Source organism: Homo sapiens, chromosome 2 (assembly GCF_000001405.40).
Source record: "Homo sapiens chromosome 2, GRCh38.p14 Primary Assembly".
In the NCBI taxonomy this organism is placed as follows: domain Eukaryota; kingdom Metazoa; phylum Chordata; class Mammalia; order Primates; family Hominidae; genus Homo; species Homo sapiens.
Window position 1 is genome coordinate 131,217,193 of NC_000002.12, and position 20,690 is coordinate 131,237,882.

The window sequence follows — 20,690 nt, forward strand, 5'->3', positions numbered from 1 at the left end:
TAAGTTCTTTAGAGGTGATTCAGGAGATTTTGGTGCACCCAACACCTGTGCAGTATACACTGTATACACTGCACCGGGGCAGGAGCTGGCTGCAATCCTGTGGCCCCAAATGCCCCCTTGCTGATGGCCTCGTGTTCTGGGTGCGGAGCAAAGAGGAGCAGGTGTTGAAGGCACCTCAGGCAGGCCCTGGGCTCGGTGGGCGTCTTGTGCTCCGCGATTTTGAGGCCATTTGCAGCCAGCTCCGTCAGCCCGAGCTCCCAGCTGCAGCTGCTGCCATGCACAACAGCACCGCCAGGAGTGTCCTGGGGGCTTTTTTCAAAGGAGGCTGTCAGCATCCTCAAGTTCCAGACGCTTAGCCCCAGTCCTCCTTTAAGAGGCTTTTTTTTTTTTCACCAGAGGCTTCTCAGTGGCTTGAAAGCTCAGCTGACTCCCACGAAGTTTGCCGGAACTCAAGGCTGTCAGTGACATTCGTGGCGCCAAGACTTAAGCAGGCGCGTTGCATGCATCGGCCAGTGTCTGTGCCACGTGCCCTGACGCCACCTGAGATAAGCACGCCGCACGCCGCACGCCGCACGCGCACGCCGCACGCGCACGCGCACGCCCGGCAGCAGCTTGCTGGCTTGTAACGGCTTGCACGCGCACGCCGCACGCGCATAACGGTTTGGCCGGCCTGTAACGGCTTGCACGCGCACGCCGCACGCGCGTAACGGCTTGGCTGGCCTGTAATGGCTTGCACGCGCATGCTGCACGCGCTTTAACGGCTTGGCTGGCCTGTAGCGGCTTGGCTTGGCTTTGCGTTCTTGGCTTGGCTTGGCGTTGGTAGCTTGGATTGACGTTTCCTGCTTGGATTGACGTTTTCTCTCTCGTGTTCCTTTGCTGGGCTTGACCTTTTCTCTGCTGGGTTTGGCATTCCCTTGGGTGGGCTGGGTGTTTTCTTGGGGGCGGGGGTTGGCCCTTTCTGGGGTTGGCCCTTTCTGGGGTGGGCGTGGGGTCGCCCAGGGGGGGCGTGGGCTTTCCTCGGGTGGGTGTGGGTTTTCCCTGGGTGGGGTGGGCTGGGCTGGAATCCCCTGCTGGGGTTGGCAGGTTTTGGCTGGGATTGACATTTCTCTTCAAACAGATTGGAAACCCGGAGTTACCTGCTAGTTGGTGAAACTGGTTGGTAGACGCGATCTGTTGGCTACTACTGGCTTCTCCTGGCTGTTAAAAGCAGATGGTGGTTGAGGTTGATTCCATGCCGGCTGCCTCTTCTGTGAAGAAGCCATTTGGTCTCAGGAGCAAGATGGGCAAGTGGTGCTGCCGTTGCTTCCCCTGCTACAGGGAGAGCGGCAAGAGCAACGTGGGCACTTCTGGAGACCACGACGACTCTGCTATGAAGACACTCAGGAGCAAGATGGGCAAGTGGTGCCACCACTGCTTCCCCTGCTGCAGGGGGAGTGGCAAGAGCAACGTGGGCGCTTCTGGAGACCACGACGACTCTGCTATGAAGACACTCAGGAACAAGATGGGGAAGTGGTGCTGCCACTGCTTCCCCTGCTGCAGGGGGAGCGGCAAGAGCAAGGTGGGCGCTTGGGGAGACTACGATGACAGCGCCTTCATGGAGCCCAGGTACCACGTCCGTGGAGAAGATCTGGACAAGCTCCACAGAGCTGCCTGGTGGGGTAAAGTCCCCAGAAAGGATCTCATCGTCATGCTCAGGGACACTGACGTGAACAAGAAGGACAAGCAAAAGAGGTAACCAGGCCTGGGCTGGGAGGAGGTGGGACGTGGGGGGATGATGGGGACATACCCTCCTGGCGGGGGAGGAGGGGGACCTGGCTTTCTCGCCTCCGCAGGCCTCACACCACCCTGGATGTGGAAACCTCAGAGAGGTCAGGGTACAGGGCCCTTTATGAACAGCAACACAAAAACAAAACTTTAGCTGATTTCCAATCATAATTTCCCTCATAGAACACTAATAGACTGTTTTAAAGTGATTTAACTTGCAAAATTAATTAAGTCAATGCAGCAGATTATTTTTAATCTACAGATTTTAAAACAATGTTCTATACATTATAGAAAAGTGTATATTGAGAACTAAGAACAAAGCCCCATAACACATCAACTTCAGGGCTAAATATTCTTCAAATAAAATCCAGTATGGATTTTATATCAATGTACAGTATGTAAATATGTTCTTTACTGAGGAACCTTAGAAGGAAACTGAAATGGGAAGATGGTTCCTGTGCTTGAACAGGAAGATTGAATTTTCTTAAGATGTGAGCTTTTTGGCTGGGCGCGGTGGCTCACGCCTGTAATCCCAGCACTTTGGGAGGCGGGCGGATCACGAGGTCAGGAGATCGAGACCATCCTGGCTAACACGGTGAAACCCCGTCTCTACTAAAAAATATAAAAAAAATTAGCTGGGTGCGGTCGTAGACGCCTGTAGTCCCAGCTACTCAGGAGGCTGAGGCAGGAGAATGGCGTGAACCCGGGAGGTGGAGCTTGCAGTGAGCAGAGATAGTGCCACCGCACTCCAGCCTGGGCGACAGAGCGAGACTCCCTTTCAAAAAAAAAAAAAAAAGATGGGAGCTTTTTCTATTTATCACTTTTACCTAAGCCAAATAAAAATAGCAAAGTTTTAGCGTTTTTAAATTACACATGCTGTCTTTTATTATTGTGATAAATTAATTTTTTGTAACAGAATGGAAAAAGTCTGCTTTTCCAGATATCAAAATGTGCATGTTATTTATTTCCACAAATTGTTTACTAACAGCTGAAAAGACATCAATGAATACAACAGAATAGGAAATTTAGAAATACCCAAATATATGTTAAGAATTTAGCGCTTGATAATGGTGGTGTTTTTTATTATTTGAAAAAGATGGATTGTTCATAATTCATGTTTGGAGAAAACTAGCTAGATTTTTATGTCACAAAAATAAGAGTATAGATTAAAAATTTTAAATATACAAAAAGAGAAACATACCAGAAGAGAAACATACAAATGCCTATTTATATATGCAGATATATATTTATATATATACTTTTTTTTGGATGGAGTCTGACTCTGCTGCCCCGGCTGGAGTGCAGTAGTGCGATCTCGGCTCACTGCAACCTCTGCCTCCTAGGTTCAAGCAATTCTCTGCTTCAGCCTACTGAGTAGCTGGGATTACAGGCGCCTGCCACCACGCCTGGCTAATTGCTTTGTATTTTTAGTAGAGATGGGGTTTCACCATCTTGGCCAGGCAGGTCTTGAACTCCTGTCCTCGTGATCCACCCACCTTGGCTTCCCCAAGTGCTGGGGTTACAGGCGTGAGCCACTGTGCCTGGCCTATATTTGCAGACATAATAAAATAAGCTCATTTTAAAATTGGGCAAAGTACTTTTTTTGCATATCTACCAGTGACCTATGCACATAGGAAAAGATAGCGTTCCTGGTAGAAGAAGGAATGTAAGTTAGAAGAGGAATGAAATACTGTTTTCTATTTAAGTTAGAAGAGGAATGAAAGGCCGGGTACAGTGGCTTACGCCCGTTACCCCAGCACTTTAGGAGGCTGAGGCAGGTGGATCATGAAGTCAGGAGTTTGAGACCAGCCTGGCCAGTGTGGTGAAATCCCATCTCTACTAAAAATACAAAAAATTAGTTGGGCATGGTGGCACACACCTGTAATCCCAGCTACTCAGGAGGCTGAAGCAAGAGAATTGCTTGAACCAGGGAGGTGGAGGTTGCAGTGAGCCGAGATCGCGCCACTACATTCCAGCCTGGGTGATAGAGTGAGACTCCATCTCAAAAAAAAAAAAAGAAAAAAAAAAAGGAATGAAATACTGTTTTCTGTCCACAAAGTTTGTGAGGATGAAGAACAGTGGTACTTACGTAGTCATTTAAAGTTTAAATTGCTACAGCTTTTCAAACAAACACTTTAGTGGTAAGAACCACATTTTAAAAATGTTATGCTTTTTACTCATCAATTCCATTATACTGAAATATCTTTACCAAATAGATGTCTGTTTTTCTTAGTATTGATTAAAATAGCAGTGTATTTAGAAGAACCCATATAAAGATTTCATGGACAAATTTCAGTGCATCCATAGGATGGACTAATATGTAACTATTGAGGTTGTCAGTAGATACAGAGATATGTCGACATGCAAAGATGTACTTTGCTATAACAAGTGAGAAAAAAATCAGTTGGTTACACATATACACGAACAGAATCTGCTCGTGTTAGCTGAAAACATGTAGAAAATATAATCAAACTTGTTTCTGGGGATTTGTAAGTGAAGTTTTTCCCTTTCTCTTATCTGTGATTTCTGCAATGAACATCTGAAGTTTTAGTTAAAGTTCATTAGTAATGCAATAATCCTTGGGAAGAGAAGGAATATGCTTCTTGCATAGATGCAAATAATTTGTCACATTCTATTATTTATTTTTCTATCTGTGGTTGGCTATCTTCTGTGAACTTTTACCCTCTTCAGAAGTAGAGGGATTGTGTTTACCTGTTCCTGTAGATTTTATTGTATATACATTTTATTACATAATTATCTTTTCATTAGATATAGATTAACATGTAAAAAGTATGAATTAATCATTTTAGTTGAGTTGTATGTTTATGAAAATTAAAATAGCAAATGTAAGTGATTATTACTATTGCAAATGTATTGCATTACTCGACAGGAGTTTTCTTTGAAAATACTGAACTCCCAAGCTGTGTTCATCCATTCTTTCAATCCATTTAGTCATCAGACATAAGCCAGACACCTATTATGTGGCAGGCATATTCTACTATCTCTCAGGATCCTTCCACCTTTGAAAACTTCATGTTTATCTGCTGGGCTTGAGCAAGCTGAGAGATTTAAAATTGGTGCATTAGGACTTAATCTCAATTGAAGCTTTTCCTCCCTCCTTTCAAACAGAAGCATTTCTGAAGGTAGAAAATAGTAAAAGACAACCCTTAACTGCCCTTTTGAAAATTTATAAGTCTTGGAGAAAGACTGTTTTAGTTGTTTTAAGAACTAAAATGTGGTACATAAACAGCATGGAATACTATGCAGCCATAAAAGAAGGAACGAGAGCATGTCCTTTGCAGGGACATGGATGGTGTTGAAAGCCATTATCCTTAGCAAACTAACAAAGGAAGAGAAAACCAAATACTGCATGTTCTTACTTATAGGTGGGAGCTAAATGGTGAGAACACACAGATACCTAGAGGGAAGCAGCACACACTGGGGCCTATTACAGGGTGAAGGGTGGGAGGAGGGAAGGAAGCAGGAAATAGAATGAATGGGTACTGGGCTTAACACCTGAGTAATGAAATAATCTGTACAACCAACCCCCTTGGTGCACGTGTTTACCTGTGTAACAAACCTGCACATCTGGCACGTGTACCCCTGAATGTAACAGTTGAAAAAAGCTCCACAAATCGTTTCATAAATCCGTTTTAAAAGGAGAAAATTTATAACAGTCTTAAATCCTAATATGAATGATTGGAAATATCTGATGTAGATATATTGTATAAATCTAAGTATTGAAAAAAATGAGCCCATGCTATTCATTTGAATTCCAGGTTTTCTTTGGCTTAAAGTTTATTGAAAACCAAAGTAAGAATTGGTTTATTTTAGAAATTTGTTTTTGTTTTCACCTCAGCTTTCTTATTCCATAGTTCTTTTAAGAACTAAAATTTATCTAAATGCTGGTCATCTGACTGGAACCGCCCCGGACCTGTTATAACATATTCTACTTCATGTAAGACACCAGGGATTGTGTGATGCCCCATTATTTTATGCCTCAATAAGAGAATTATTTAAATGCCGCAAATTATAGTAAATCATGAATTGTAAGTGGTATTTCAGTGGAGACAACATGGAGACAATGATCATCTCAGAATCACTAAAATACAATGTTAGCTGTAATATTTAAAACACACCTGAAAGTGTAGGTATAATTGTATCATCTCAGTTCAAATGTTGTCTTTAGTGGTATTAGTAAAAATTAAAATATCTAACAATTATTGAGCTGTTATTTGTGTTAGGAACTATTCTATATCTTTGGTGCAGAGTCTCATTTAAGCATTAGAGTGGTTTCCTGTGAGAAAGCTACTATTTTCATTCCTATTTTATTGATGAGGAAACTGAGACCCCAAAAGGCTAAGCAACAGCCAGGAAGTGACAGAGCTTCAAGTAGGATTCCAGCCCACGTTGAATGTCATCCAAGGGCTATGCTCTTTATATTTATATAGGCTGCCCTTTCATTAATACAGCGAGCAATGAGAGATAATAAATAGTGTGCTTTTTTCATGGGAAAGTTAAATGTTTGTTTTGAAGGCAGAGTAATAGCAGGCTATTCAGTGTTTGCAGTTACATGAATCATTGCTATGGCTGTAGCTAGTGCACTACAATTTCCTAAAAAGTCTTGTCACTCTCATAGGACTGCTCTACATCTGGCCTCTGCCAATGGGAATTCAGAAGTAGTAAAACTCCTGCTGGACAGACGATGTCAACTTAATGTCCTTGACAACAAAAAGAGGACAGCTCTGATAAAGGTATGCAGTAGCCAACTATATCAGCATGAGGTGGGTTTGATTTCAATACATAGCATAAAAATGAGTTTTCTCCTTTAAATATAACTAGTTGGTGAAAGCTGTGGAATGTTATTTTGAATTCCTAAGATTTGTAATTTGTTTTTGGTCTAATACTGACAGGCCGTACAATGCCAGGAAGATGAATGTGCGTTAATGTTGCTGGAACATGGCACTGATCCAAATATTCCAGATGAGTATGGAAATACCACTCTGCACTACGCTATCTATAATGAAGATAAATTAATGGCCAAAGCACTGCTCTTATATGGTGCTGATATCGAATCAAAAAACAAGGTATAGATCTACCAATTTTATCTTCAAAATACTGAAATGCATTCATTTTAACATTGACCTGTGTAAGGGCCAGTCTTCCATATTTGGAAGCTCAAGCATAACCTGAATGAAAATATTTTGAAATGACCTAATTATCTAAGACTTCATTTTAAATATTGTTACTTTCAAAGAAGCATTAGAGGGTACAGTTTTTTTTTTTTAATGCACTTGTGGTAAATACTTTTTTTGAAAACACTGAATTTGTAAAAGATAATACTTACTATTTTTCAATTTTTCCCTCCTAGGATGTTTTTTCCCTATTGAATGTAAAATGGCAAAATTTGCCCTGAAATAGGTTTTACATGAAAACTCCAAGAAAAGTTAAACATGTTTCAGTGAATAGAGATCCTGCTCCTTTGGCAAGTTCCTAAAAAACAGTAATAGATACGAGGTGATGCGCCTCTCACTGGCAAGGCTTAAGATATTTCTGATTGCTCATGAGCCAGAAGTGGAAAGCAAAAAAGAGAGCAATCAGAAATATCAAGGCCAATTTGGAAATTAGATAATGGAGGGAAAAGACCATGAAGAGGTTGTGTGTGTGTGTGTTGTTGTTGTTGACTGATTTGTTTCCTTTGCATGGTGAGACAAGGTTCTCTTCAATTTTAGAGAATGACAGTTTTCAGTTTGGGAGAGGGAGTTAGTGGGTTGTAAACTACCTAGAGATCAATTTTAGGAGGCCTCTGAGGAACCAGATTGGCAGTGAATAGGTGGTAATGTAAGAGGAAACCCTTGAGCAGAGGGAATATCAAGTAATTAACTGACTTAGTATCCTATTCTGGTAGAAATGGCCAATTAGAGTCTCAGCTCTGCTTTCAAATCTAGAGTGTCTGGATGGGAAGGGGGAAGATAAACAAGTAACAAGATCAAGTTGGATTTTGAGTTGACTAGACCCTGTTCTTCTCTTACCGGGGAAAATCATGTGGTGTTTTCAGCAAATGGGCCTCTCTCCTACTCCTTACTCTTTTTGGCCAAATCTTCAAATGAGAAAGGGAATTGGTCATGTGGGTGAGAAATGAGACTGAAGTAATTGTCTGTTGCACTAGCTTTCAGCTAGAATTGTGCATCCCAGTAACCTGAGGAAAATGTTTAAATAATCAACAAGTCTAGGCTTTTTCTGAATATTTTGATACAGTAAGTCTAATAAAGCCTGGATATGTATATTTGAAAATGTTTCCTTGAAGCCAGGCATGGTGGTACATGGCTGTAGTCCCAGCTGCTAGGGAGGCTGAGGTGGGAGGATTGCTTGAGCTCAGGAGTTCGAGTCTAGCCTGGTCAACATAATGAGACCCTGTCTCTAACAACAACAACAACAACGACAACAACAACAATTTTCTCAAAATCTGGATACACTCCTGCTTAAGAACCACTCAATACTTAAATGTAATATGTAAATTCTTATGTCTCAGAAACTTAAGGTATCTCTAGAAGAGTTGGGGTTGGATATGTGCTGATTTCTTTAAATCTTTCCAATAACATTAATCTGACTTTTTTTTTTTTTTTTTGAGATGGGGTCTCACTCTGTTTCCCAGGCTGGAATGCAGTGGTGTGATCACAGCTCACTGCAGCCTCGACCTCTCCAAGCTCAGATGGTCCTCCAACCTCAGTTTTTTTTTTTTTTTTTCAGTAGAGATGAGGTTTTTGCCATGTTTCTCAGGCTGGTCTTGAACTCCTGGGCTCAAGCGATTCACCCACCTCAGCCTCCCCAAATGCTAGGATTACAGGTGTGAGCCACCATTCCTGACCTAGTCTGACTTTTATCTGTGACTGAGACATTAAAATGAATATTATTGGTAGTATGTATCAGCTTACAGAATAAGACCTTTTCCTTCCTACCATCAGTTATTCACTGCTGTTCAGAAGGTCTTTAGAAATTTGCTGTGAGTAGTCTTTCAATAAGTAGAGGATGGCCCTCTCAGGATTTTGTGTCTCTTTGTTCAGTCATTCAAGTGCTTAGGTCAGTAAGTCGTTAAGAGCAGAGTTTTCTCAATTAGAATTGTAGCAAATTCTAAACCACTTTTTGTCAATTGACGCTGTATTATGGACTATCCAGTGTGTCTCTTAAGTATGTAGAGCTTTGGCATAATCAGCATGGCAGTTTTAAACACTAAAAACCATGGAGTTATTAAGAATACAGATAGGAATTCTGTTAATTTAGTTTCAGTAGTCCTATGAACTGATGGTTTAGTTAACAATCTGGGAAAATTAAATACAAATAGATTTTAAATAAATAAATGTTGGAAAATTTTTTCAAATGGGCAGTATGAGTTTTAATAGCAATTTTTGTTGCATGTTGGAGGTTGAACTTTTGGTAAAACATGAAACTAAAGAAATATTTTACATGCAGATTCTTGCTTTATACACAATTTGTCTTAGGGTTGAGGATATAGAGACAAAAGATACAGCCCCTGCCCTCAAGAAGCTTTTTGTTTAGATGGGAAAAATATTATCATCCAATAACACCATGCCAAATGCTGGTTTAGAAGCAAAGAGCCTTGGAAGCAGTAAATGTTTAAAGTGAGTTTTTGAGATGATTAGAGTTACTGTGGTGAGGCAGAGAAGGGGTGTTTCCAAGGGAAGGAGCAGCGTGTGGGAAAGCACAGAAGAGTGAGAAGGAAGCGAGTACATTTTATTTACTTTCTATGCGTGTAAGTCCATAAGATCTTACATAAAGTTTCCACTTTGGTTGAGGAATATGTACTTTTTTGAATTACATAGGTTTTTGCTTTATATTGTTTTACAGCATGGCCTCACACCACTGTTACTTGGTGTACATGAGCAAAAACAGCAAGTCGTGAAATTTTTAATCAAGAAAAAAGCGAATTTAAATGCACTGGATAGATATGGAAGGTATAGTTCTTTCTTTTAATCTGTGTGTTCTAGATGGACAGCAGTCACTCAAGTCATAAATATTAAATTAATAAGATTAATGTATACTTACTGGGATGTAGTGATCAGTATCAACACAAATCAGTTAGGTAGAAAAACAATTACTTGGGCTGGGCAACATAAAGAACAGTTTTAGTAGGATTCATCTTCTCTTATTATATTGACTGATGTTATTTGTTATGTGACATTTTTGGTTACATGATCTTATGTTAGCTTAAAGGATTTCATATTAATTTTATGAAGTTTGAACTTTAACTTTTAGTTTACTTTATGACTCAGTATTGAACTTCTTAACCCTTTCTAATAGTTTTTAACCTGTGTCTTACATGCTTTTCCATTAAATCTGCTGTATTAAACATAAATAGGGGTTGAAAATCCTTTTGTCTTTTTAATGACTTTGCTTTAAGTTGCTTTCTTTGAAGAATATTAGTGTTAGCTTATCCCTACATGACAATTAATTGCTGTTCCCACATACTGTGGGTTCAACAGCTTTTTTCCTTTTGTTTTTCCAGTGTGTTTTGATGTTTTTATTTTTAATTGGTATGGAGAGAGGGAGTGAAGATAGTTTTAAGTGGATACACTTTTCCTTTAATGAAGACAAGCCGTACGTGGGTGATAAAGAGAAAAGAGCTAGGCTTTGGATTCACACAAGACTGGGTTTAATTAGTAACTTTCTTACTTGCTAGGTGTGTGACCTTGGGGACGTTATTTACCACCAAATATGTTGTCATATATGAAAAGTAGGAGAATATATCCTTCAAAGTTGGCTGTGCATAAGTAAGAAAGATACATGTGGCATTTAATTCAGTGCCTAGCACATGGTTATTGGCACCATTAACTGAAACTCCTATGACTACTATTCTTACCATTATTATTACTGCTTTGAGCATGCAGAGAGCTCTTATTTCTCTTACCCCCTAGCTGATTTTCTATTACAGCATGTCAGTCTAGGGAAGCTGTGACAAAATCTTCACTTAAATCTTTGTCCACCTCAGATAAGTGGCCCTAACATTGTTTCTTGCCCATCAAAGGACTTTAAATTAGTAGCTTCTGCTATGCAATACCCCACTGAGATAAGAGGGTTTTTTTTGGTCCCTTCCTTTTAACCTTGGTGGCATTTTACAAAGATGAACACTTGAGCACTCAAGATGCTTATGTCTTTTAGTGCATGTAAATGTTTGATTCTGCACAGACAGGCAAGATGTTACATTGGTAAAGTATATCAAATTAGCTTTAAAAATAACTTTATTACAGTTCCTATCTCTGTCATTTTAGGACTGCTCTCATACTTGCTGTATGTTGTGGATCAGCAAGTATAGTCAGCCTTCTACTTGAGCAAAATATTGATGTATCTTCTCAAGATCTATCTGGACAGACGGCCAGAGAGTATGCTGTTTCTAGTCATCATCATGTGTAAGTGTTTACATTAAAAGGCTAGTTAATGCTGAATTGAGGTTTAAAATAATTATAACAGTTGCATCTCACATATCAGGTGAGATGTCATAGTTTGGTTCAGGTAGTTTTCGCGTGGCAGTGAGTTAGTCCCCTGCATCAGCCAGAAATCAGACAAAAAGCAAGACAAGTTAGAAGTACCAATGGGTGCGGGATTCTTTATCTCAGGACTTTTAAGATCTTTATCCTTAGAGATCCCAGCATTGTTCATTTGATCCAAGTGTAACACCTATGCAGGGATAAAAAATAGTGTCACATCTTTAATTTTTCTGATTAGTTATTTGGGTCTTGAAATGTCTAGTTTAGCGGAAAGTCTTGTACTGTCTTCTGGGGACTATGTCCTACATACTCCTTGAATTTTTCAAGAACCGAAGGAGTTCACTAAATCCAAGGAAGACAGTCCCTTTTATCAAGTCAGAAGGAGGAGGAAAAAAGACATTGCAATCATTCTGTTGTTTCCGTTGATTTTGTTGCTGCTTTGTGGCCACTCAAACTGGTCCTGCTGCCTTAAGATGAATCAGTAGATTCAGATCCCTCAAGTCTTCATGGCGATTCATACAGTGACTTTGATGTTTTTTAATTCCCATACCTATGCTTATATGCTCAGCCATTGTTCCCAGAGCACCAGCCCCCTGCTCTGGCCGCTGGGCATCTTGACTTTATCCGCACACAAAGTGACCAAATTGACCCTTCCCCACATATTCAGAACCTAATGTGGAACCCACATCTTAGCCAGGAATTAGCTGAGACCTTCATGGTAAGAGATCCTTTGAGGCTGTTGTTGGTCTTTTCTCTGGCAGATGTTAGGTGGGCTTGTTCTAAAGGGTGAGAGGGGTTCAAATAATGTGGCAGAAAGAGGTCAGTGTTTGTTTCCTCTTTGCTACCAGATCTGTACTGTGAGGCACCTTTATATCCTGTATAGAACCCAGTAGAAAGTCCCATATGAACCTTGCCCTGAGCAGTGGCTCCCAGCTGTGGTTGGCCCCTTGAGTGATCTGATTTACATGATAATGAAAATTGTCGGAGCTACTTCCATCTCTAGCTCAAGATTTTAAGATATTTTCAAACTCTAGCTCACAGGAAGCCATTGAAGAGAATTCTCAGAATCTCAAGTAGGTTAGTTGGACTTCACAGAGCCAAGCCTTGTCCATGACGCATCACTAATCATGTGTAAAAGTAGGGCTTTGTGCTTGCTTCGGCGGCACATATCCTAAAATTGGAACAATACGGGGAAAGTTAGCATGGCTTCTGCATAAGGAGGCAGCACAGATCTTTGAAGCATTCCATATTTTGTGCAGTCACTGGAAGGTCATTTGACTATTTGCTGACTAGCTCTGAGGAAATAGTGTGAATCAAAGCAAAATGGGTGCCACCCAAATATTGAAATTGTGATTTGTGCTGCAAAAATAGTCATGTAAGATGGTCTATGAGATGACTTAGACCTGAATAACATGTTCGGTGCAAAATATATTGTTAGTATGTATGTCGAAAATTACAGAATGTCAGCTTGCTACTTCTCTGTGGAAACTAAAAAAAAATAAAAGTAGACTTTTGGTCTCCCATGTCAGCTGGAATTGAACATCAATATAAAGCATTATCCTAACAGACATCTACTGGCTGAGAGTTTGAGTCTGTAGAGAAGGATCGTTGGTCCAAGTCAGGTCTTAACATCCATTGGTTTTTCTGCCCTTGGTGTGATTGATCAACTCCGTAATAGTGGACAATCACATTATCTACTTTAATGAGATATTTATGAATAAATTTAGTTACAAACTATGACATAGTTGAGATGCCCTGAATTATAAGCCATAAAGAGTAGGACAACTAAGAAGCAAAATTAGGACTTAATAACATTTTCTGAAAACTACAACATTTGTATATTAGAACCTATGAACAAAATATGCATTGGGTTTTATTTGGGATTCCAAGATAATTTTAGTCATAAAGTTTAGGAACAGATTATTCCATTGCTTTACTATTTCTCTGAGCATTTAAAAAATGTTATCTCGTTAAACCTTTATAACAACCTAGTGAAATAAGGCAGCAAAGTCCTCACTTTGTTGAAGAAGACATTGAGCCTAAGAGAAGCAAGTTGTCCAAGAACAAATAGCTGTTCATTATGGAGCTAGGACTTATTTAGAGTTGGGACACTTTCTATTATGTCATGCTAATGCTAGCTAATTTACTGGGTCACAGTGCCCTCGATTTATGACTATTTCACCTTACATTTTTTTCTTCTTTAATTAGAAGCTTAAAGAGAAGTTTGTAGAATGTATTCATAAGTGGATGGGATAATACTATTAAGTTCTGTTATTCTGATATTGTTTGAAATACTCTTAATAATTCTACATTTGGTAAGTTTTTTTTATATCAGTATTAAAATAGTAATTTGGTTTATTACATTTTTATACATAGAATTTGCCAGTTACTTTCTGACTACAAAGAAAAACAGATGCTAAAAATCTCTTCTGAAAACAGCAATCCAGGTAAGACTTGTGATAGTGAATTACTTTAGTCAGTTGTCCCCAACCTTTTTGACACCAGGGACCGGTTTTGTGGAAGACAATTTTTCCATGGGCTGGGGGAGGGTGGGGATGGTTTCAGGATTATTCAATCATGTTACATTTATTGTGCTACTTTATATTATTATCACATTGTAATATATAATGAAATAATTATACAACTTACCATAATGTAGAATCCGTGGAAGCTCTGAACTTATTTTTCTGCAACTGGATGGTCTCATCTGGGGGCAAAGTGAGACAGTGACAGATCATCAGGCATTAGATTCTCATACGAAGCACACAACCTAGATCCCTCAGATGGGCAGTTCACAACAGGGTTCATGCTCCAATGAGTATCTAGTGCTATCACTGATCTGACTGGAGGCAGAGTACAGGCGGTAATATGAGCCATAAGGAGTGGCTGTAAATACAGATGAAGCTTCCCTGGCTTGCCTGCTGCTCACCTCCTCCTGTGTGGTGTGGTTCATAATAGTCCATGGACTGGTATGAGTCTGTGGCCTGGGAGTTGAGGACCCCTGCTTTGCGTGGTCCTACCATAGATAAAAAAGTAAAAGTAAGGAATTTTTGATCACAAAAGAACACTGAAGCACAAGTCATGTTACATATGCTTGTCCCAATAAGGTCTCACTATTACTGACTTCATTCCTCCTCATTTGAAGTTGGAAAGAGATATATTTACTTTGTTGGAACAAGATGTGTTCTTCTACCTGCTGGTTAATTGTCATCATAACAGTAATTTTGTTAGAACAAGATGCTCTGCTACCATTTGCCAAAAGATTGTCATAATAAATATACAAATTGCCCAACTCTAGGCTCAGCAGATTATAATAAAAGCAGAAAAACGTTTCACACTAACAAAAACGCTAGTATGCTACCTGGTTGTGGACACCTAATACATTTATAGTCCAAACTGTATGAGGACACCTTTAATTTAGCCATCTATTTATCAAAGAGCTTTTGTAAGTTAGGTTTTATAAGTTGCAGGAGACAAAGATGGAATAGATGTAGTTTTGATCTTTAAGGTGCTCATAATAGAGCTGTCTCCATTTCATTTCTGTGGTTTTTCAACAGAATTTACAAAGAAAACATTTCTATTTATGTTTTCACTTGTCCACTTAACATATAACTATCAAATGTCTTTTAGATAGTAACCATTTTTCTAATGCTATAGACCACAAACAATTAAAAATACAGACAGGAGCTTTTTGTTATCATTGTCATTTTCATTATTTTACTACTTTATTCAGTGCTTACTGTGTGCTAGATGCCCACTGGAAGCTTATAATTATGATTTATTATATATTGATTATGTGCCAGACATATGTGATGAGGAATGAAAGTTTTGGGAAAAAGTAGGTATGATTTAAGGTAAGCATGCAGAGAGAGAAGAATTTTTCTAGGTAAAGAAGCAGAAGAAGAATGTTTGGCAGAAGGAACATGCAGCGAGGTCGTGTGTTTGCCAGAAGGAACATCTAATGAGATTGCCTGTTTGGGAGGAAGAGCAGCAAGTGCAAAAGACAAGATGCTTGAGTGAACATGGCAGGGTTTCTGAGCAGTTCACTTTTGCTAGTACCAAAAGTGTGTGATACGAGAGGTTGGGAATGAGGTGAATACTTAGCTAAGGCAAGTTTATGATAGACTTTTTAATACTATAGAAATGAGTAGGTCTTATCCTGTGTGCCATGGGAAATTTACCGGGTAGAATGCTTTGGACTGCAAATACTAGATGAACAGTGGCTAAAACAGTAGGAACCAGAGTTGTTTTGGTTGTTCATTGATATCCTAGGATCCCACTTTTCCCTCTTTCAGCTGTGCTGTTGACAGTGTTTTATTCACGTCTCCCTTCATGGTTGGCTAATCCGCAGCAGCTCCAAACATCTTGTTCTCACAACACAACATCGCAAGGGCTGCTTTTCTTCACATGTGTCTTTTAAACAGGGAGAAAACTTAGAAGCATGCAAAGGGCTTCCTGTAACATTTCACTGGCTGGGTCACACCACATGCTCATTCCCAAACCAGGCACTGGGAAGGTAAATACCTGATTAGCTTAGAATAATCATTTCTGTTTCTGAGGCTGAGGAGGGGGATTGGGATAATAAATATCCCAATAGACTTGGATTTCTTCTTCAAGAAAGAATAAGGAATGGCTATTGATAGGGAGCCAACAATGTGTGCTGCAGGGGCTCATTGGAGAAATTTGAGCAGGGGAGTCATAAGATTAAATCTGAGTATTAAGGCATTCTGGTTATGGTGTAAAACGGGTTAGCAAGCTTTTTCTGTAAATGGCCAGTTGGGCAATATTTTAGACTATGTGGTCTCTGTCATATCTACTTAACCCTGCTGTTGTCTGCTGTTGTAGTGTGAAAGCCACCATGATTATATGTAAGCAAACAGGCATGACTGAGCTCCTATAAAACTTTATTTACAAAACCATAATGCAGATTGGATTTGGCCTGTGGCCTATAGTTTGCTGGGATTGATGGAAGGTTCTTTACCCTGTAAAGAAACCAGGAGACAAAGGAAGTTTTCGCAGTAGTCAGTTATAGTTTCCTTGTCATACATCCTTGGAGTAGCATCAATGTATTACAAGGTTTTCACCCGTCCTTAGTGAAATACATAAAGTTAGGAATCTCAACTACTTGTTTTAATATGTTGGCCTTTTTTTTTTGGTGTTATGCTTTTTTCATTTGTTTTGCTTAATTTTTTTCATGTAAGAAATAACATTAATAGTTGGCAGGCTTTTTTTTAAATAAAAGCCATTTTGTAAATGTTTGTGTTCCCAGTGGCAGTGGGAATATAAAGCAGAGGCAGAAGAGCGGTATCGTCAATATGATTTAGTGATAATTGAATGAGAAAGGCTTGGGGGACAGAGAGAAATGTCAGATAATTTCCAGGTTTCCAGGTTGTACAGTAGTATTTAACCTGGATGTGAGGACGAAGGAGGAAATTTTCTGGTGAATACAGAAGAGCAAAGAGCAGCAGGTCAGCAGGAATGACTAATGTTTTTCTATGCACGTTTAATGGAAAATTCATGTAGGATATTTTGAGTAGGTAATTGGATAACCAGCATTTATAACTCGCATCCTACTAGTTTGACTCTCACTAATAAGACTTGTCAAAGATCCAAGAATCTGAAAGTTGATGATAAATGTCCATGTGTATCACCATCAATGATCAAAAGTTAGCATCCACAACATAGAATGGGACAGATGAACTTAATGGATAAAGATGAATATCGGAGTTGTTCCTTTTAGGGAATGATACTCTCCATGACCTGTGTGAGTCACAGCTGCCAGAAAAGAGCGAGCAAGGAGCATATGAAGGCAGCACAGCAAATTCAGTCCTAGAGTGCCCTGCTTGACTTCATGTCATAGTTCTGACTTCTAAAAAATCATTTTCTGCAAAATACACTTTGATTTTTTCCCCGCTTGCAGCCTGCAACCAAACAGAATCCCTTTAGCAGGGCATTTTTGTGTTCTTCCTTTAAACAAAGCAATATATAAATAACAAAATGAAAAAAGAGAAAGAGTGTTTTTTGTATAGGCTAGTATTTAACATAAACTTGAGAGTGAGTACCAGGATTATAGTTAGAATTTACGGACTGGGTAGGAAGACTGGATAGAAATCTAAAGATTGCTGACTCAAACACAATGTGGTTTCTTTGCTTTATTGTCACAGCTCTGAATTCACAATTATTAGTTAAATTCATAGGCACTATAACTTTAGAAAGCACCTTCCCAAACCAAGTATTAAGTGATTTATTATAATTTCTCTGACTTCTTATAGAATTGACTTTCCAAGTGTTCATGAGAATTATTGAGAATTTGCTACATAGTATCATCTCAGCTGTGTCCACATGAGCTATCTGTCACCTTGTCTTAATGAATAATTGTTCAGTAGGAATATTGGTTTTGGCATTTAAAGTGATCTATATCTAAATGCAGATAGGATCAGGGACCACTCTTGAACATTAATGTCCAGGCATCTTAAAATTACACATAAGGCTTTCATAATCTGACTTCTGCCCCACTCTCCATCTTTAGGCCTTTTCCCTGTGTGCCCTTTCTCTGGCATTACTGAGCTGCTGGCAATGCCCTACTCACTCATCCTCCTATTGTAGGCAAATACTTTCACTCTTTCAGGCCTCGCTCCCGCTCTTGCTGCTGCGTGGCATGCCGTCACCCTTTCCTGCCCTCTACCCCTTTTAATCTGGCTAGTCTCAATATTTAAGTCTCTGCTTGGGCATGTTTTCTAGAAAAGCCATCCCTGACATGCTTTATTTTAATTGTTTTTAAACCCTAATGCCTAGCATGTATTTAGCAGGACTCAATAAGAAATTTCTGAGTAAAATGTGAGTAAGATGATGCTCAAGACTGTCCTCTGCAGTCTTGGAGCAGACGGGACAGACATGTGGAGGAATAATGTAGAGTTCAGGTGGTAAAGATGCAGTAGAAAAATCAGTGAAGTACTAAGGCAGCCTCAAGGAAGGAGGTACCTGTTTATCTGGGGAAAGACATGCAGAATCAAGGAAGACGTTCTCATAGCATTGTTTTAAAAGATAAAAATAAGGACAAGTGTGGTGGCTCACACCTCTAATCCCAGCATTTTGGGAGGCTGGAGCAGGCAGATCACAAGGTCAAAAGATCAGGACCATCATGGCCAATGGTGAAACCCCGTCTCTACTAAAAACATGAAAATTAGCTGGGCATGATGGTACATGCCTGTAATCCCAGCTTCTCCGGAGACTGAGACAGGAGAATCGCTTGAACCAGGGAGTGTCAGAGGTTGCAGTGAGCTGAGATTGCGCCACTGCACTCCAGCCTGGTGACAGAGCAAGACCCTGGCTCAAAAAAAAAAAAAAAAAAAAAGAAAGAAAAAAGAAAATAAATGTGTCAGAATAGTGGAGGGAAACATTTTAGATATTGGGAAGACATTGTACACTAATAAAGGTGTCAGTAGTAATTTTTGAAATCATTTGTAAGGTACTATTGTTGCAGAAAACAGGAGGCAGGAGAGACCAAGTGGGTGAAACAGGAGGATTTCATTTAGGTTCGCAACAGCTCAGCAGATTTGCATCCGAAAGCTGAGCCCTGAACAAAGACACGGCTTGGCTTGTGTAGGCAAGCTTACAGAAGCAGAACAAAGGCAGTTAATCATATAGTGACAGTTTTGCAACCTCAGCATAGCTTATGACCTTGCAGCTGCATTGAAGGACAACAGGAACTTGCAAATAGTATGCATTTGTAAAAACAGCTCGGAGTGAATGCTGAGGGGAAGGGGAGACAGTAAAGGATTTTGTTTTCTTAACCTTGCTCTGGGATGTCTGGAGCCCATACCTGTGGGCTCTAGCTTCTCAGGCAGGGTCACCACGACCTTTCCTGGGCCCTGCTTGTTACTATCCTTAGAGTCAGACTAGCTAAGTGCGGGAAAACTTGTTTCTCTTTAAAACTAAATTTCCTTTTCTTTACATTTACTGCTTCACTATTAGGAAGTGGAGAACAACATACTGTGTTACCTTACATGCTTCTACTGTATTTTAAAGTTGTGTTTCTGGTGGTTTTGTTCATTTATGTTGGGTGGATGAATTTGTGAGTGAATGACATCAGGTGTCTCCCCAAGTGGTTTGTTGAAGTTTGGGAGAATTATTTCCTAAATAACTATTTCGTGAAAAACTAAACACTCAATTTATGAAATAAAATGTTGTCTTAAATCTATTTTTATAAAGGCAATAGTTTTTAACTGTTCTAAGTGGTTCATTTTAACTGAATATATGGATTTCTCAACAGAACAAGAGTTAAAGCTGACATCAGAGGAAGAGTCACAAAGGTTCAAAGGCAGTGAAAATAGCCAGCCAGAGGCATGGGAAATTTTAAATTTAAATTTTTGATTTAATGTTGTTTTCTTTGCTTTAATAATATTAGATAGTCCAAATGAAATTACCTTTCAGACTAGGTTTTGAGAATCAATAGATTTTTTAAAGAATTTTTTAATAGATTGTTAAAATTTATTTTAATAAATTCAGTAATCTCATTAACAGAAGAATGGATTCTAATTTAACATTTGATATTTAACTTAAAAAACATAACCACTATAAAATTTAAAATACTCTTATAATATTTTTATTTAAAATACTCTCATCTGCCTTTTTGATTAGCTTATAGCTAATCTTTCCTTTTGGAATAGAGGCAAAAACAAATTTCAGAACTTTGTTCTTTTATTTTTACAACACCCGAACATGATGAAGAAGGTACATCAATTATTGGATTATGTTATTAAGCAATAGAATTATGAACAATGTAACTCTGATGGTCCCTGAGCTGGATTCATGGTTAAGGAGTAATCATGGCCAGTGATTGAAAATCTGCAGTTTTATATTGTCAGTCACTGTGATACCAAGGTTAAAAATATATTCTGCCTTATGGTCTCTCGTTGACCTCAGCGTTTCTGTTCAGGGAGGGAACCAGGTCATAAAAGCAACACAGCTGCCTATTACAAGAATCATATCTTGCAGAATGGAACCTTTGGTGTTAGTGCACAAACACAATAACATTCTAATTTATTTCAGTTGCAGAAAATTAGTACATATTATTAAAAAATCTTTATCCACTGTAATTAGTACACATTAGAATATATTAGAACTGGACTTACGCAGATAATCTGGATACATAACACTATCATATGACAGTATATAATCTCAATTAAAATTTGAGAATTTGCATCTCTTTCTGTTTGGTGTTGATTTCGGCTCCTAATAATTTAAATGGTGCCTACAATCCAGTTAGGAATCTTTTAGAAAAGCACTTCAGTGCACTGTAGGGGCTCACTAGTTAGGGTTTCATGAGGTAAACTCTTTTCAAGTGAGGAAGGTTTTGGAACACTACAAATCATCTGCTGATTCATTTTTGGTAGATTTAACACATAACAAATTAAGTTTAGT

General features: G+C 39.2%; 1 protein-coding gene and 1 pseudogene across 5 annotated transcripts in view; both read left to right on the forward strand.

The window, feature by feature from the left end:
- Positions 1-20,690, forward strand: part of POTEE (POTE ankyrin domain family member E) — a 55,743-nt gene that overhangs the window by 7,657 nt on the left and 27,396 nt on the right. For 2 of the 5 annotated variants that reach the window (XM_047444419.1, XM_047444420.1), the window contains exon 1: positions 13,696-13,714. Coding sequence is in view for 3 of the 5 variants with exons in the window: in NM_001083538.3 (NP_001077007.1) it covers positions 1,211-1,731; positions 6,404-6,518; positions 6,678-6,851; positions 9,631-9,737; positions 11,052-11,189; positions 13,644-13,714; positions 19,540-19,610 (1,197 nt within the window). In the remaining 2 variants the exon portion in view is untranslated. Of the gene's footprint in view, positions 1-396; positions 1,732-6,403; positions 6,519-6,677; positions 6,852-9,630; positions 9,738-11,051; positions 11,190-13,643; positions 13,715-19,539; positions 19,611-20,690 lie in introns of those variants that run through there. The other 3 variants (NM_001083538.3, XM_047444421.1, XM_047444418.1) reach the window with 3 other exon arrangements.
- On the forward strand, positions 12,415-12,521 carry RNU6-127P (RNA, U6 small nuclear 127, pseudogene; annotated as a pseudogene).